The 17,282-nt window shown below is 51.3% G+C and overlaps 1 annotated feature.

Moving 5' to 3' along the window:
• Positions 9,449-9,948: an enhancer, noted in NCBI's record as "H3K4me1 hESC enhancer chr11:71054609-71055108 (GRCh37/hg19 assembly coordinates)". NCBI's record gives its function as "activates a minimal SCP1, AML or CMV promoter by ChIP-STARR-seq in naive H9 embryonic stem cells {active_cell/tissue: H9 hESC(naive)}" and the evidence as "EXISTENCE:reporter gene assay evidence [ECO:0000049][PMID:30033119]".

Genomic DNA, 17,282 nt, shown 5'->3' on the forward strand with positions numbered 1-17,282 from the left:
GAAAGCATCTTCCTTGTGGTCTCCTCATTTGTGAAGCAGTACTTGGACCCTGAGCACTAAAAGCCCTCCCAGCAGGGCAGATGTGCACCAGGGGAGGGGCAGAGCTCAGGCTAGGCCCAGGAGAAGGAGGGAGGAGGACTGGCTCCTGCATTTCCCCAGCACCCCACAGGTCCCTGCCCAGCTGGGCTGAGTTGGGAGGACAGCTATTTCCAGGCCCCCGCTGGGCTGTGCACATGGAGAGCCCATTGCCTGGCTCCTTCCCACTGGCCCCCATCTCTGCACCTGCTGTGCCCATTAGCCAGCCCTCCCCAGCTGCAGCCCCCCAGCCTCCCCAGGCTTTGCTGGTCAGAGGAAAACTGAAGACAGGTCTAAGAGGGTCATGCTGCTGTGGCCCCCCTGTCCTTGGCTGGGGGATGGGAGCTGGTTGCAGTTCTCCAGAAGCTTCTCAGAGGGTTTCCACATGGAAGTGGCTCTGAGAAGCTGCCTGCACCAAAGCCCTGCAGGGGGCATGAATCCACATCCCCAGTCCCTGCCATCTGTGTCTGTGGGAATGATCCTCATCCAGGGACTCACTACTTCCTAAGACCCTTACTCTGTGGCCGACCTAGAAGCTTCAGGAAGCAGGGACAGGGTCAGTCACCTCCTCTGTCACCCCAGGGACCATAACAGTGTGGATACATGACTGTACTAGAAGGTTCTGTATGTGGAGAAGCATTTGTGGTTCAGAGCACAGAGGAGGCCTGAGCCCAATAGGACTTCAGGCTCTGGCTGTATGATGTGCACAAGTTACAGAAGCTCCCTGAGTTTCTGGGGTTGGTGGGAGCATTGCAGGACTGCCAGTGCAGGGAGGTCTCCAGCCTTCAAAAGAGAGTGTGTGCACAACGTCCTCTCAGAGCCAGGCACAGGGTAAGTGCTCAGGACATGGGAGTTGTTGTCATGCTGAACTGACCTCCAACCTATAGCTCAGCCTTTTGGGGTGTGCAGGCCAGGTCTCCACTCTTCATGGGGGATGATTTCCACAGGAGAAAGCAGCTTGCTCTCTCCTGGGCATTGACTCTTCTCCAGGCTGCAGGGCTCCTGCCTTTGGTTGCTCCTGGGACTATTTCTTCTGGATCCATTCTGAAGGGGATCCATCCCCTTCCAGAGTCTACTGCTAGGAAGCAAATTCTGTACTTCACAGTGTTTGGGGTTGGGATCCCAGAGCCTAGCTGGGTTCTCGCCTCCCTTTTCCTGGACATAATACTCCTGTTAATGCAGCCCAGTTCTGGGGCAGCCTGGTGTGGTGATGAATGGCCCAGAGTTTGCAGTCCACCAGGCTTGCACAGGGAGGTGGACAACTCACCCTCTACAGAGGTGTGGATCTAGGGTGACTGCTGGGCACTGGCTTCTGCCAGCTGGCCTCTGGGCTGTGTGGCTACTTTTCCCACCCTTTGGTCCTTCTGAACCCAGGGCCTTTGCTTGGCCCAAGACCTCCACCCTGGTCAGCTGACTCTCCTGCTTGGTTTGGGCAGAGCTTAGTCTGAGCAGGGACTCCTGGCCTGGGTAGGAGAGGACAGGGGACAGATGAGGCCAGGGAGATGCATTTGGCATTGTGGCTGTCCTGGGACTGGGCACAGTGAGCAGAGTGGCTGTTCATCAGCGAAGCTGCAAGCCCAAGGCTCTGGGAGGTAGGGCTGATGTTAACAGAATAGACACTGCAAAGACTCAATGTTGCAGACCTGAGACAGAACCCAGAAGTTGGAAGACAGCCCTGGAAACTTCTGGGCTCTGGAGGTGGCTCTGTGCTCACCTGCAGGAAAACTTCCTCATTAGCCATTAGAATGATGGAGCTGCCTCCTGTGCTTTGGCCAAGGGCAGTTGACTGGAAGGTGTTGCTCTGTGCGGAGCCCTGAAGAGAAATCACCCTGACTTTGCTGTGTTCCAAGAGTGCAGCTGAGAAGATGTGATCTTGGGAGCCAGAGGCCACAATGTCTTTTTTATTCATCTCAATTTATGTTCCTGGCAAGAATAACAAAGGAAATGCTAGAGGTACAAATGAGCAGAAAAAATTATGAGGAAGACCACATCCAGGTGCACGGTGGTGAAATTGCACCAGGACATGCCAAGCCCATCTTTAGTTCAGAATTCCTCCTCATCTGTAGGGGACCATCCATCATCCACATTGCACAGTTCTGAGAATGAGCACCAGTGCCATCAATAATTCCACCAGGGCAACAGGTGTAAAACAGGGATTGTCCTAGCAAGCCGGACCATATGGCTGCCGCCCTTATCTGTGCAATCGGCTGATTTGCAGGGATAATGAGATATTCGATGAGAAAGGTTTTGTGACTTAGAGCAGCACCAGAATCAGTGCCAAGCCATTTTTGTAGCTCACTTATTTGTCCCACAGGCAGTGTCCTCTGGCGATGTGCTTTGCTGTTTGAGCTCTGAAAGGTGGTGCTGGAGAGGCTTATAGAGAGGGGTACCCCATGGCTTGTGAGCCCACCCAGGGCCCAGGCTTGCCCAGAGGCAGCACGGAAAATGGAAAGAACAGGGGCTTTGGGGCTGGACCCGTCCAGGTTCCCTTTAGTTTCCCACCCCACGGCTTCATAGCTGAGCACAGATATTGGTTGTTGGTGCTGTGTTTCTCCAGGACCTGCCTCCTTAGGTCTTGGTAAGGATAATCTGCCCTTCTAAGACACACTCTAAAAGCACTGGTCCCTTCTGCTTTCCAGCCTCCCTGGAAGCTGGGCATGGGAATGTGGATTGACTCAGCCAATCAGATGAGCCTGCCCTGAGTCATTTGTCCAATCAGGTGTCCTTTCCCTGAAAGTCTTGCCCAATCAGATGCACCTGTCCTAAACAGGGACAGTCAGATGCAGCCACTGTAAATTGTGTCCAATCAGATGTCTGCCCTGAACTGTGGATCGGAACCATGGGAAAAGGAGGCTGAGACTGGGAGAGGCCAGTGTGACCTGGTGGCCTGTGTCTGGGGCCGGCAGGGCATATGTCCACGCACACCTCCTGTCACCAGTTCCGCAGCGTTTTCCCTTCCTTCTGGCCATGTTTGTGCTGCCCTTTATTTTTCTAATACATTTCTGTTCTGCTTATGCAAGACAGAACCTGTTTTTCTCTTGCTTACAACTAAAGAACCCTGGCTAATGTGCTGCATGAGCTAGAGCAGTTCTTGCCATTCTCTGAGCCTTACACAGTTATCTTCACAATGGAACAAGGATCCCTACCCTGCAGGGTTTTTTAAAGATGAAGGAGCATGCTTTCTGCATAGCACTGCATCCAGCCACGTAGCCCTGGAGCAGCTGTGGGTGCAGCCTGCACAGAGGGGAAAAGGAGCTGTCGTGGTTTTGATGTTTGTCTCCTCCAAAGCTCATGTTGAACTGCAATCTCCAGTGTTGGAGGTGTGGGCCTGGTGGGAGGTGATTGGATCATGGGGGTGGCTCGTTCGTGAGTGGCTTAGCACTGTCCCCTTGGTGATGATGTGATAAACAAACTCACCCATCCAAACCCAAAGAATGGACTCAGGCACCTGGAGAATGGTGAACATGAGACTTTTAATGATGCCTTTGCAAGATCAGGTGTCGATGGGCAGGCACACCCAGCACGGTTTCAACAAGCAGTTCATCCCCCAGTGCACAGGTCGCTCCCCTGGTTCTTCATAGGCTGAGTACTGTGGGGTCACAATCTTCCCAGATGTTGCCTATTGATTGTTAGGCAGGGACTTCAGGTGTTTTATTTTTGGGAGTTGTCCTGCTGCACTTTGTTGCAGCCCACAATGCACTGCAATCCTAGTCAGCTCGGGGGCTCTTCAAGTATTTGACTTATGACTTAAGTATCTGGGCAGGCTGATAAGAACAGAAAAAGCTAGCTATTTTGCAGGCTAGTACATTTTCATTTTTTTTTTTTTTTTTTGAGACTGAGTCTCGCTCTGTTGCTCAGGCTGGAGTGCAGTGCCACAATCTCAGCTCACTGCAACCTCCACCTTCTGGGTTCAAGTGATTCTTCTGCCTCAGCCTCCCGAGTATCTGGGACCACAGGCACGCGTCACCATGCCTGGCTAATTTTTGTATTTTTAGTAGAGATGGGGTTACACCATATTGGCCAGGCTCGTCTCAAACTCCTGACCTCAAGTAATCCGCCTGCCTCGGCCTCCCAAAGTGCTGGGGTTACAGGCGTGAGCCACTGCCCCCGGCCTGTAAACTTTCATCTTAGACTAAACTTCTTCAGTTCACGTAAGGGCAACCAAGGGGGTTGGAGGGCTGGCAAGCGGGCCTTGGCTATCCAAGCAGGGGCCTAGTATATCCTGTTTCTTCTGTAGTTTGCTGACCTAAGCCAATTTAAGGCACTTTGTCTTGGAAATGGGCCACTGCATACATTATTTCCTTCAATGAGTGAGTTCTTGCTCGGGAAGTTTATGCAAGATCTAATTGTTTAAATGTGTGTGGCCCCTTCCCCCGTCGCTCTCTTGCTCCATCTCTCACGCTGCGACACGCTGGCTCCCTGCCACCTTTCACCATGATCGGAAGCTTCCTGAGGCTTCACCAGAAGCAGATGCTGGCACCATGCTTCCTGTTCGTGAGACACAATGACACCTCTTTTCTGTATAAATTACCCAGCCTCAGGTATTTCTTTATAGCAATGCAAGAACGGCCTGACAGAGGAGACTACCATAGCAAATAGCAGCGTGTGAACTACCCATTAAAGTACTTGCTAAGCTAATCTCCTCCTTTCTGCCAAGGGGTTAAAATGTTCAGAAACAACAATTCAACCTTCAGAAATGATGGCAAGCCAAACTCATTTAATGTGCGGCAGGCAGAGCTTCGCTCCCCGTACAGGGCTGCCAGATAACATGTGGGATAAACAGTGGGTTATTATTTATTTTAGTGTAAGTATGCCTCATGCACTATTTGGACATACTTATATGTAAAAAAAAAATACTGTGTGTCTGGGATTCCAATATAACTATGCACCCTGTTACTTTTATTTGCTAAGTCTTGGCCCCCTCACACCCTGGTTGCCTCCTCCAGGATTTTTTCTCTTGACTCTCATGTCCTACGTTTGCTTTGCTTTGGGGGAGCTCTGCAGACAGCCAAATGCTGTTTTTGCAGCGTGACTCTGAAAGCCTGCATTTGCTCCAGAGCTTATTAAGACAAGCCATTTCCACCACGATGAAGAGCACGCACGCACAGCCGTATCCCAGAATCAACGGTGTCTCAACGACAAAATTGAAAGCATTCTCACGTATTCCACCACTGGGAGTCCAATATGAAGCAGCAACACCCTTCTGGGTCATTATGGCTCATTTTCACTTTCAAAAGCACATGCTTCTGGGTGGTCTGGCCCCCGCGCCTGCCTCCGGCCCTCCTGTTCCTCACACCCACGCATAGTTAAGGTCCATTATGCACCCGACTCTGTCCAGGCAGGGAGCTGCCAGGGACAGTCATTTTCCAAAGAGGAAACACATTTGCTTAGCAAGTCTAGGCCTGCTGGTCTCCCCATCCAGACAGACAGGGAAGCTTCTCGTTACTTCTAATGCATCGCCCTGGGAGGCCGAAGGAGACCATTTCGGGAACTGTGCTTCCCAGCACAGGCTCTACCTCCAAAACACAGCAGGCAGGGGACAGAGCCTGGTGGCTGCCGCATGGTTACCTGTAACCAAGAGGTCACCCAGGGCTGAGGTGTAGGTGAGTCAGCGGCTACCCGTGTGTGGTCTCTCTGGAGCCCGCAGAGCTGGCAACTCAACTAGGAGTTCAAAGCTGTGATTTTACACGTCCGTGGAGCAGATATCAGGAGCTTAAAGAAATCATCTTCATCCCTTACAGTCCCTGGGGATGCATCTCCTGTGCTTCTCTGGTCTTTAAAGAGAAGGGCGATTTGGGTTAATTACCATAGTTACTGTCATTGCCTATTGGGCTCTGTGATGCTGGTTTCTCAGGATTAGTCATAAAATACGTGGATGGCCATTCCAAAGATGAGTTCTTACTGTAGTTGATTTTAAAGGCACTTCAGGGGAAGCCAAGGAACCAAGCTGCCAAAGGGCTACTGATGTTCTTTTTGGACCGAGCGCAACGGTCCTTTCATGTCTGCGTTCCTCCATCCGTCACTGATTCGCTCCAACGACACTGGCGGCACATTCACTGTGCGCTGAGGCTTCTGGGTGGGGTGTGGGGCCTCTGTGGTGAAGGAGGATGAGATAGGGAGGCCCATGTCCTGCAGGTCACAGTCCAGTGAGGAGTGCTCCTGAGACAGAGTTCAGCCTACATGCCGTGGAAATGGGCAGCTCCACGGTGAGCAAGCCTCAGGGGGCTGCACAGCAGGCAGTGGGTGTCAGGGGTGCAGTGGGGGCAGCTCCAACTCCACCTGGCCACAGACTCATACTCCGTCTTTCTCAGCTTCTGCCCTAATCCTGGTCCTCCTCCCTGTGCCCCCCACCCCTGCATGATGACACCTAGCATTGGTGCAGGCTGGGAATGTAGCTCTTTAGCTGAGCTGAATGCCTGCCTCAGCCTCACCGGGCCACTGTCATAGGGAGAAGGAAAGGGTGGTATCGGAAAGGCCACCATCACGGTCTGATGTGCCCTGGGGTTTACACTCTCAGGGGATGGTCTGTCTATGCTTAGGTCAAAATTCCAGCATCTGCCTTGCTTCCTCTTCTCTTGCAACCTTTATTGACCCTAAGCAAGTTCTCTTAAATCTACTTTGAAAGCATAGACTAGTCTGCACACATTTCTCCAGCTTTACTCCGTCACCCTCGCCCTGGTCACTGGTAACTCTCTCCTGGGCTTCTATAGTAACCTCCTAAGGGGTCTCTTTGCATGTCCCTTCTCTGTTGATACTGTCTTCTTAGAATGGCCAGAGTGATGTTTTGTTTTTTGTGGGGTTTTTTTTGAGACAGGGTCTCACTCTGTGGCCCAGGCTGGAGTGCAGTGGCACAATCTCGGTTCACTGCAACCTCTGCCTCCCAGGTTCAAGGGTTTCTCCCACCTCAGCTTCACGAGTAGCTGGGACTACAGGCACAAGCCAATACGCCCAGCTAATTTTTGTATTTTTAGTAGAGACAGGGGTTCACCATGTTAGCCAGGCTGGTCTTGAACTCCTGACCTCAGGTGATCCTCGTGCCTTGGCCTCCCAAAGTGCTGGAATTACAGGCGTGGGCCACTGTGCCCGGCCCAGAGTGATCCTTTAACTGCATAAACCAGATCATGTCCCATCTTTACTGAAAACTCTCCAGTAGCGTAAGATCCAGATCCCTTGCCTGGGCTTACAAACTCTGCAGGCTTCAGTTCGCAGCCTCCCCAGGTGCTCGTGCTGCCTGCTTCCACAGGTTCCACCGATGGTCCTTTCTTCTCTTCCACAGACATTCCACCCCCATCCCTACCTCAGGGCCTGGGCGCCAACTGTTCCTTCCACCTGGGGTGCTCTTCCCTGGCTCCTTCTTGTCATGTGGGTCTCCACTAAAGACCACGACCTCCAAAAGGAGACCTCACTCTCCACCTGCCACTAGCCTGACATTGGTTTATTTTCCTTACCCGTCTGCCTGCTCTCCGCCTTGCCCTGCTGGAGCCTGTTTGTCTCGTGTATGCTCTATCCCTACAGCACTGTCCAGCAAGGAGCAGGTGCACGGTGGGCAGATGTGCTCGGGTGAGCTGAGGTGGGAGCACAGACATGCAGGGATGGGGTGGCTCCTAGGTGGACCCCCATAGGTGGGAGGAGCTGGCCAGGTGACGAGTCAGGGAGGACATCTCGGGAGGAGGCAGCAGCTCTGGACAAATCTCAGGTGAGGGAAATAGCTTGGGACATTCAAAAAATGGAAAGATGACCAACATAGACACGGCATGGGTTGCACGGCTGGCCACTCAAAATGTGGCTGAGAGGTCCATGCCAGGCAGGGCCCTGCAGGCCAGGCTGTGAAATGTTGTCCGAAGGGCAACAGGGCAGCACTGAAGGCTTTGAGGAAGGGGGTGACATGGTCCAGTTTGCATTTCACAAATGTTGCAAGGAGGAAAACGGAAGGGAGTAGAGCTGGGGGTGCCCAGGAGACCAGCGAGGGGCTCGCAGTCGTCCAGGCAAGAAACCAGGGGCTTGGGCAGGAGGTCTGCATTGAAGGGAGTGCCAACAAGTCCCGGGAGAGTCAAGGGTGACTCCTCAGGTCTCGGGGTGCTTGTGAGGCTTCCCAGTGGAGAACGTGAGAAGTGGGTTGGGTAATGTGATTACGTCACATCTCAGAGCCAGAGGAATGCAGAGTCCTCCGACCACAGCCACGTCAGAGCTCAAGTTCAAGCTGCGACTGATCCCCGTGGGCTGAGATGTGTCTCCCCACAATTCCTATGTTGATATCCTAACCCCAGCACCTCAGCATGTGACTGTATTTGGAGACCGGACCTTTGTTTTGATTATTTATTTGTTTTTTGAGACAGAAATCTCTGTGTAACCTGGGCTGGAGTGCAGTGGTGCAATCATGGTTCAATGCAGCCTCGACCTCCTGGGCTCAAGGGATCCTCACACCTCAGCCTCACAGGAAGCTAGGGCTACAAGCGCGCACCACCAGCCCAGCCGACTTTTTTATTTTTTGTAGAAACGAAGTCTTGCCATGTTGCTCAGGCTGATCTCAAATTCCTGGGCTCAAGTGATCCTCCCGCCTTGGCCTCCCAAGTAGCTGAGACCACAGGCATGTACCACCATGCCTGGCTAATTTTTTTAAAAATATGTTTTTAAGAGACAGGTTCTCACTATATTGCCCAGGCTTGTGTCAAACTCCTGGGCTCAAACAATCCTCTTGCCTCAGCCTCCCAAAGTGCTGGGATTACAGGCATGAGCCATCGTGCCTGGTGGAGATAGGGTCTTTATAGAGGTGATTATTTTAAAATGAAGTCACATGGGTGGGCCCTAAACCCATCTGACTGGTGTCCTTATCAAAAGAGGAGATGAGGGCACAGACATGCACAGGGGAACACAGGGAAGGTGGCAGCTATAAGCCACAGTGAAGGGCCTCTGGAGGAACCAACTCTGCTGCCTTGATCTTGGGCTGCAACCCCAGAACTGTAGAGGATAAACACCTGTGGGGCTTTGTGACTGCAGCCCCAGCTGACTCATGCACTGATACTGAAGCAGAAGCAGGCAGGGAGTGGGGAGAGAGAGAGAACCCCAGACCACCTTTCCCAGCCAAGCTTCCAGAAGAGCTGTCCCGCTCCCATTTCGCCTCCTCACTTCCCAGCCCTGCATTCGGGGACCCTCTCTCCAAGAAGGCCTGTCCCCACGCCCTGGTCACGCTCCACTTGCCCCATTCCCGGGGTCCATTGTGGGTTCCGTCCCTTCTTCCACCCGTTCCGATGCTGTTTTTCCCGGGCTCTCCTCACCCAGGGAAGGGCCCTCGCCCCACCCACAGGCTGGGGACTCAGGAAGCCCACCTGCAGCCACATTCTCAACGCCCATGCTCCCATCCACCCTCCCTGCGGCCCCTGACACGGCTGCTCACACCCAGGCCTACCACGTCCTCCTCCCGATGTCCCTGTGCTCTGCAGCAGGCTCAGGCTCAGGGACAGCATTGTCATCACCCTGAGCACCCGTTGTGGAACCCCAAGGCCACTCCATGCTCCTCCCTCCCACCCGGAACCCAGTCAGCTGCCAACTCCTTTGACCCACATGCTCCCTCTGCAGGCTGGGATTAGAATTCGCGTCCTGACCTGGAGGCCAAAGCCCCTGCTGGTCCCCTGCCCTCCTCGGGTTCTGCAGGCCAAGAGCCGGGGTTTTGGCAGAGCCCTGAGTTTGAGCATTGCCACTCAGGGTTGAATGGCCTTTGACAAGTTCCTGAAGTTCCCTACATCTCAGTTTCCCCTTCTGTAAAGTGGGGCTAGAAATACAGCCTCCCTGGTAGGGCTATTGTGTTATACCAGACAGAGAATGCACAACACCGTCCTGGTCATTGCTGAACTAGTGAGAGCTGCTTTCCCTCCTCTTCCTCTTGCCCTCTCCCTCCTCCTCCCTCCGCTCACTCCCACTCCTCTTCCTCCCGCTTCCTCCTGCCCGTCCCTTTCCTCTCCCCTGTTGCAGCCCCTCATCTCCTGGCTCACCCTGTTTAGATCTGCAGATGCCCTAGTTCTGTGCCAGGCTACAGTACAGCAGGTACATTTCCTTCAGGAAGCCGTGCCCTGCTCCTGACCAGGACGAAGGAGCCACTGCCCACCCCTCCGTGAGGCCAAACCTGCTCCTGTTCCCCCATCTGTGTGTCCCCTTCTCAGACTCCTGTACGGGAGTTCAACCATTTCCAGAGACCCCACGGAGGCTGGAGTTTTTGTTCTCAGCCTAAAGGGTCTGTGTTGTTTTCCCAACCAGGAGACTGGGGCCAAAGCGTCCAACAAACAGGAGAGCAGGCCCAGCATCTGCAGCCCCAGCCCCAGCTGATACACAGCTAGACGCCCCCTCCTCACAGCCCCCTGTGGAGTGTGCAGAGACATGGGATTTAGAGAAGGGAATGAGGTGGTCCTGAGCAGTTTACTTTGAGAAATTAACCCCAGAAACTGCTGAAAGTCACTGTAGTGTGAGTGGACAGGTACTTCTGCTTTTCTGGGAGAAGGAAGTTGCTGGGGGGTCCTCCAGACAGCATTCCCGGCCTTGCTCTCCCATGTCTGCACCTGGCATTGGAGAGGAGCAAGTGCTGCTCTTAGATCCTGCATTTATTTTAGGAGGTGGGGAGGGGACCCCTGGCCCTGACTACCCCAGGGTGGCCTGTGAACAGCAGCATTTCATCACGGGGGTGCTGGTCAGAAAGGCCGAACCCCAGGCCTGCCCCACGCATAGGCACCGTGCCTGGTGCATGTGGGCTTCGTAAGTCAACAAGAGAGTGGACTGTGTCATTGGTTCAGTGACCAGCCGTATTCAGAAGGACTGGAACACGGGGTGTACACGGCAGAGCCGTGGGAGGAAAAGCGAGTGGGGTAAGCGTCTGTGAGTGGATAAAACCCAGCTCCTGCCCTTGGAGAGCTCATAGGTGAATTGGTTCATAACCTCAACTTGCAGGATTTCCCGGGACTAGCCTGTGCCCCAGTGAGTTTGCTACTCAGGGTATGATCTGAGGTCAGCAGCAGCCCCTGAGAGTTTATCAGGAAAGAAAAGTCCTGGGCCCAACCCCAGACTGGCAAATTGGGTGTTGAGGCCAGGAATCTAGGTTTTAACAAGCATTCCTGGTGATTTTTTCTTTTTTTTTTTTTTTTTGAGACGGAGTTTTGCTCTTGTTGCCCAGGCTGGAGTGCAGTGGCGTGATCTTGGCTCGCTGCAACCTCTGCCTTCTGGGTTCAAGTGATTCTCCTGCCTCAGCCTCACAAGTAGGTGGGATTACAGGTGCCCATGACCACGCCTGGCTAATTTTTTTATTTTTAGTAGAGTCAGGGTTTCTCCATGTTGGCCGGGCTGGTCTGGAACTCCTGACCGCTGGTGATCCACCCACCTTGGCCTCCCAAAGTGCTGGGATTACAGGCGTGAGCCACCCCGCCTGGCCTAGCCTGTCCTTTTTAAGCCACTTTCCCAGAGACTTCATCCTGCAGCCGCCAGTCACATCGCGTGGTTCTTAGATGTGTCGCATGACGAGACCTAGCAGGGGCGCAGGCTGGGAATGCAGCTCTTTAGCCGGGCTGCACGCCTGCCTCAGCCTCACCAGGCCACTGTCATAGGAAGAAGGAAAGGGTGGTATTGGGAAGGCCACCATTGCGGTCTGCTGTGCCCTGGGGGTAACTCTTAATGCTGCCTACCAGATTGTCTGGTTTTCCTCTGTGCATGAACATGGCAGGATTGCCTGTTCTGTCTCCTTTGCAGGGAGTAGTGAATATGGTACAAGCTACTCCCCATGGACTGTGGGGAGAAGTAGGCAAAGCATTTAAAATGCTGGCATGCGACTCCAAGAGCACTCTTCCTTTGCCTGGCAGCTGAGGGGCTTGAGCACACAGCTGTTCCCTCCCTACACCCTGGCCCTGAGGGACATCTCTGCACAGAGCCTCCTTGCTCACTGTCCCTGCTGCCTGAGGACCTGCAATGGATATGTGGTCTCAACAAGAGATGATCTGCTGTTCTTTTAAATGACTGGGATATGGGGGATGTTTGATACTTCAGCATAACCTTGATCATCCTGACTGATACAACAAATATTGTAGTCCTATAAAATAATTTTTAAACAAATTATTTCTTCGTAATCTGCTCATGAAACTCTTGTCCCTTCTTCAAGATGCAGTCCCTCCTCTGGGAAGCCTATCCTGACTTGAGTCTCAAGTTGAATTGACCTTGCGTTTCCACTCTTCTTTACATGGTGCCTCTATAGAGTAGTGGCTTCCTAGATTGTCAGTTGTCTATGTACCAAACTCCCCTCCCCAAACTGAGTTTCTTAAGGTCAAGGTGGCATTTATCTCCATATCCTAGCTCCAGAACAGTGCCCAGCATGTATGAGGCCTTCAAGTTGGTCTTGCTGGATTGAACTGAAGTAGAGACACAGATAGACAGGTGCATCAAACTGCAGAATTTTCTTGTCCATATGCTTTTGCTCATTCTTCCTTCTGTGCTTGCAGTGTTCTATTTTGCTTCTTGAATCCCCATCTTTCTATTTATATCATAAATTATATTTATATTCACCTGTAAGGGTGCTGTCTCTTGAAGGGAAAGTGATTGATCATTCAATAAATGTTTTTTGAGAAACTACTATGTGCCAGGTACCTTTCTAGATTCTGGATATACAGTGATGGATGAAATAGACAAAGGTATGTTCATTCCAGTAGATAAGATAGAAATAAAAATACATTAGGATATAATAAATACATAACGTCAGCTGATGACAAATGCTGTGCAGAAAAGTAAATCAGTGGAAGGGGTTAGAGAGTGATGGGAGATGCTGCTTTTAAAGGGAGGTATAGAAAAGCCTCTTTGAGTAGGTAACATTTGAGCTGACCCATGAAGAAAATGAGGAAATTCACAATGCACATACCTGCAGGAAGAGCATGTCTAGTAGAGGGAACAGAAAATGTAAAGCCCATGGTGGGAAGCACAGGCAGGCCAGTGTGACTGAGTGCAGTGAGTGAAGGGAAGAACAGAGATGAGACTGGAGAGGCAGTTGGGGATGGATCTTTTAGGGTCCTAAAAGCAGGGCTGAGCGGCTTGAATTTTACTGTAAGCTCAATGGGAAGCCAGGATTGTTTTAAGTAGGACAGAGACAAAATCCAGCTTGTGCTTTAAAAAGATCATGCTGGCCAATAGTTGAAGAATAGATTGGGTTAGGGGGAGTCTCATTAGGAAGGCATTGAGTGTCCCAGGTAAAGGTTGATGGTATTCCAGGTGAAAGTCAATAGTGGCTTGGGCAGAGGGTGTCAGGGAAGGTGCCACAGGGGAAGAACAGTTCTGAAGGCATGGGAAGTGTGAATCCCACACTGTATTTTGGACACGTCTGATTCAAGATGCCTGTTAGACACTGAATGGTCTTTCCAGGAGACCAGATTCACTAGTCTGGAATCATGGCAGTGGATGGGGCTTGGCATGTAAGTTTGAGAGTTCTTAACATTTAGGTGATTTTTAATTCAGTAGGCTGGACTGGATCACCTGGAAAAGCTGGTAGATAGATCAGCACAGAGATCTGAGGACAAGACTGAAGGTTTCATCTAAGTTGTGAAGGAGAGAGAGTTAGCAAAGAAGGAGAAAGAATGGCTTGGAAGGTAGGCACAAGGAGAAGCGCAAAAGAAGAGTGTGTCCAAAAGGCAAAATGAAGACTCTCATTGAAACATGAAATGAGCACCTAAGATGCTATTTAACTCAGGAATAAATGAAGGAACTAATCAGATGTTACAACCAGTTCAAAGGAGGAGTCAAAGCCCCAGCCATTCTAGAGGCACTAAAGAAACCTGAATCAAATTTACAAACATTCATGGCAGGTCTACCAGAGGCCAATAACCAATTGCATTCCAGCAGACACAACTAATTTGCCTTTCTAGAAACAAAAGTTATTTGCATTGTTCTCAGTTTTCTACAACTTTTCTCAATTCATAAAGTAGCCCAATGAAAGGTAGAAAGAATCCAGAGGGTGTACTAGACAGGATGCTCAGTAAAGTTTGCTTGGTTTTTTTCTTCCCACTTTAAATTCTTCTCCCAATTTTTCCTGACACAGGGACTACAGTGTCTTAGAACTCACAGGAATGAAGTCTTTCCCGAAGGAGAAAAGATCAGCTGTGTCAAAAGCTATGGTGAAAGGAAGATGAGAATGTGCTAATGGATTTGCCAGCATGGTGGTCATTGGTGACATTGACAAAGATAGTTTTGGTGGATTGGGGGAAGAACCTCAGCTTGGATGGGGTTCAGGAGAGATTGCAGGGTGAAATAGTAGAGACAGAATGGACACTTTGGGGAGTTTAACCACAAAATCCTCTGAGAGAGGCTCAGAAGGAACAACTCTCAGGGCCCCACAGTGATAAGGTAAGTTCTTAACACATCCCTTGAGGCCACCTCCAGAGACTCGTTCCTTCCCTTGAAAATGCCAATCTAAGCCATCGTAAGCCACCTGTCCCATGGGAGAGCATTAAAGCAAAAACCCTAATTATCAAAGGAGAAAGAATTTTAGTCGGTGCAAACAGGATAAATACCATTACTTTTCCCAAGTGTGCATTTTCTGAACCCGGAATATTGGGGCCCACCAAAAGGCTGCAACAATTTTCTAGGTTCCAGGTCAGGGTTTTTCTCTTCTGTCAACTCCTTGCTGCCTCCATCTTCCAGTGCCCAAGTGCCCTTCTTTCCCTACTCTCCCTCCTTCCCCTAAAGCTGCTCAGCACTGGCTCAGAACCAGTGGCTGAGGGCTGACAGCTATTATGAAGCGCAGCAGGAATTTAACCTGCATTCGGGGCTCCAGAGCCCTTGCTCTTTTAGCTGCATTGGTGCTGCTATGCTAGCGTCTTCTGCCGAGAGAAAATGTGTTGCAAACACCTATGTGCTTCCCCAGGTGAAGCGCTGTGCTCTGCAAATGTGTGATTTTGTGCACTTGCCTCAGATAATTATCTGATCATACCGAGGATTACCTTTGGGAAAAACAAATAGGCCAAGGGAAACTGAGAGAGGAAGAGAAAATGAGGGAGGAGCGTGGAAGGCTGGGGCTGGGGCGGTGCGGGAGGGGCTCGGCCTCAAGCCGCCCCATCCCCAGCACTCATGCTTTGCAGGTTCCCTCTCACTGAAGCCGTCTCACAGCAGACACTGTGGGAGTTGGGCTTCTTCCCACTTCACAGAAGCAACTGAGGTTCTGGAAGTTTGGTAAGGTCCTGGGCTGGGAATGACACCCATGTCCAGGTGACTACACGGTCCTATCCTCGGCCTCCCAAGCAGCTGTGAACCTGGAGGAGCTGCCTTTGAACTTGGAGCAGCACTGGATTTTCAGGAAAAGCAAAACTAGAGGCAAGCGGGAAAGAAGAGAGTGTGTTTTTGTTTTTTTGTTTTTTAGAGGAACCAACAGCATCGGCCAGGGGCTGTGCCCCCCCAGGAAAAACCCTGCTGTGGGGATGGCAGGCCATTGGCCATGGTTAAGTAGGGGCCTTGCTGGGGGAGCAGGTACAGCCTGAGGATCCCCTTTGTTCAGCCGCACATCCATCCGAGGCTCAGGCTGTTGTTCCCCGTTCACTCCCACAGTGAGTCAGGACTGGGTGGAAACAGGGCCAGTCACTCAGAAGGGTCTCGACCAGCTTCCTGGGTCGGGGATGACAGGGCCAGCCCGAGAGAGGCCGAGGGGAACAGGGAGCTCAGGTGGTTGGGCAGGAGCCAACGCTGAGAGTACAAGAGAGGTGGCTGCACAAAGGGAGTGAATCTCCATGACGTCTCTCTCCTGCACAGGGACCCAGAGTTACCCTGTGTGACATGCACGTGTGCAGCTGCAAGTTACGCAGCTCCTAGAAGCTGGTGAAGCGGGCTGATGTTGGTCAGAACCCACACAAGAGAAGAGCCAGCCTCCTGTGAGGCTTGTTCCCTCCTGATGTGGAGCCTTGGGATGTGGCTGGAGTGCCTTTATGTCCACCTCTAACCACCAAATACACCCCGTTTGCCACCAGGGGTTAGCTGGCCACTGTCACAGCAGGCGTGGCAGCAAAGGCGTACAAGGACCAAGTGGCTGGACCACAGCTAAGAAGGAGACAGAAGCATGAACCCAAATCTCCAGGCACTCCTGGGTTTCACGATTCTCTGGTGTTCTTTGAAAGCATAAAGAAAAAAAATGAGGATTTTAAAATGGCATGTTCTTGTAATGATGATGAGATCTGGGGTTTTCCAGAGATGCACCTGTAAGCATTGTAACCCCTGTCACACTTTTTTTTTTTTTTTTTGAGATGGAGTCTCACTCTGTCACCCAGGCTGGAGTGCAATGGCACCATCTCGGTTCACTGCAAACTCTGCCTCCTGGGTTCAAGTGATTCTCCTGCCTTAGCCTCCCGAGTAGCTGGGATTATAGGCGTGTGCCACCATAGCCAGCTAATTTTTATATTTTTATGTTTTTAGTAGAGCTGGGGTTTCATCATGTTGGCCAGGCTGATCTTGAACTCCTGACCTCAGGTGATCTGCCCACCTTGGCCTCCCAAAGTGCTGGGATTACAGGTGTGAGCCACCACGCCGGGCTCCCCATCACACTTTCTTAGACATCATCACTGTCTGTCCTTGTAGGAGGCAAGGGCTTGTTCTTTTTCTTCTTCCTTATCCTCCTTTTGTAAATCAAAGTAGGGCGTATGTGTGTGTGTCTCTGTGTGTGTGTGTGAGTGCATGCCACATAGTGCCAAAGGGATTGTAAGGATAAACAGCAGCCCCCACATGCACCCCACCCAGCTTCTTTAATTCTTTTAAGTATTTAAGTATTTCTTTTATCTGTATTATTAAACAATATGTTGCTTTTGTTGCAATCTCTTGATTCATCAGTTTTAAGCATCTCTACAGAATGGTGAATATTTACCTCTCTTTAAATCAGGATCTTAGCCAAAAGCAGTGGCTCGTGCCTATAATCTCAGGACTTTGGGAGGCTGAGGCAGAAGGATTGCTTGAGCCCAGGAGTTCAAGACCAGCCTGGGCAATACAGGAAAACCCCATCTCTACCAAAAAAAAAAAAAAAAAAAAAAAGGGCCAGGCACGGTAACTCACTGTGAGTGCAGTGGTGCAACTATAGGTCACTGCCTCCTTGACCTTGTGGGTGTAAGTGATCATTCCGTCTCAGCCTCCCAAGTAGCTGGTACTACAGGCACACGCCACTATGCCTGGCTAATTTTTTGGTTTCACCATGTTGCCCAGGCTGGTCTCAAACTCCT

The sequence above is a fragment of the Homo sapiens genome, chromosome 11 (assembly GCF_000001405.40).
Source record: "Homo sapiens chromosome 11, GRCh38.p14 Primary Assembly".
Lineage (NCBI taxonomy): Eukaryota > Metazoa > Chordata > Mammalia > Primates > Hominidae > Homo > Homo sapiens.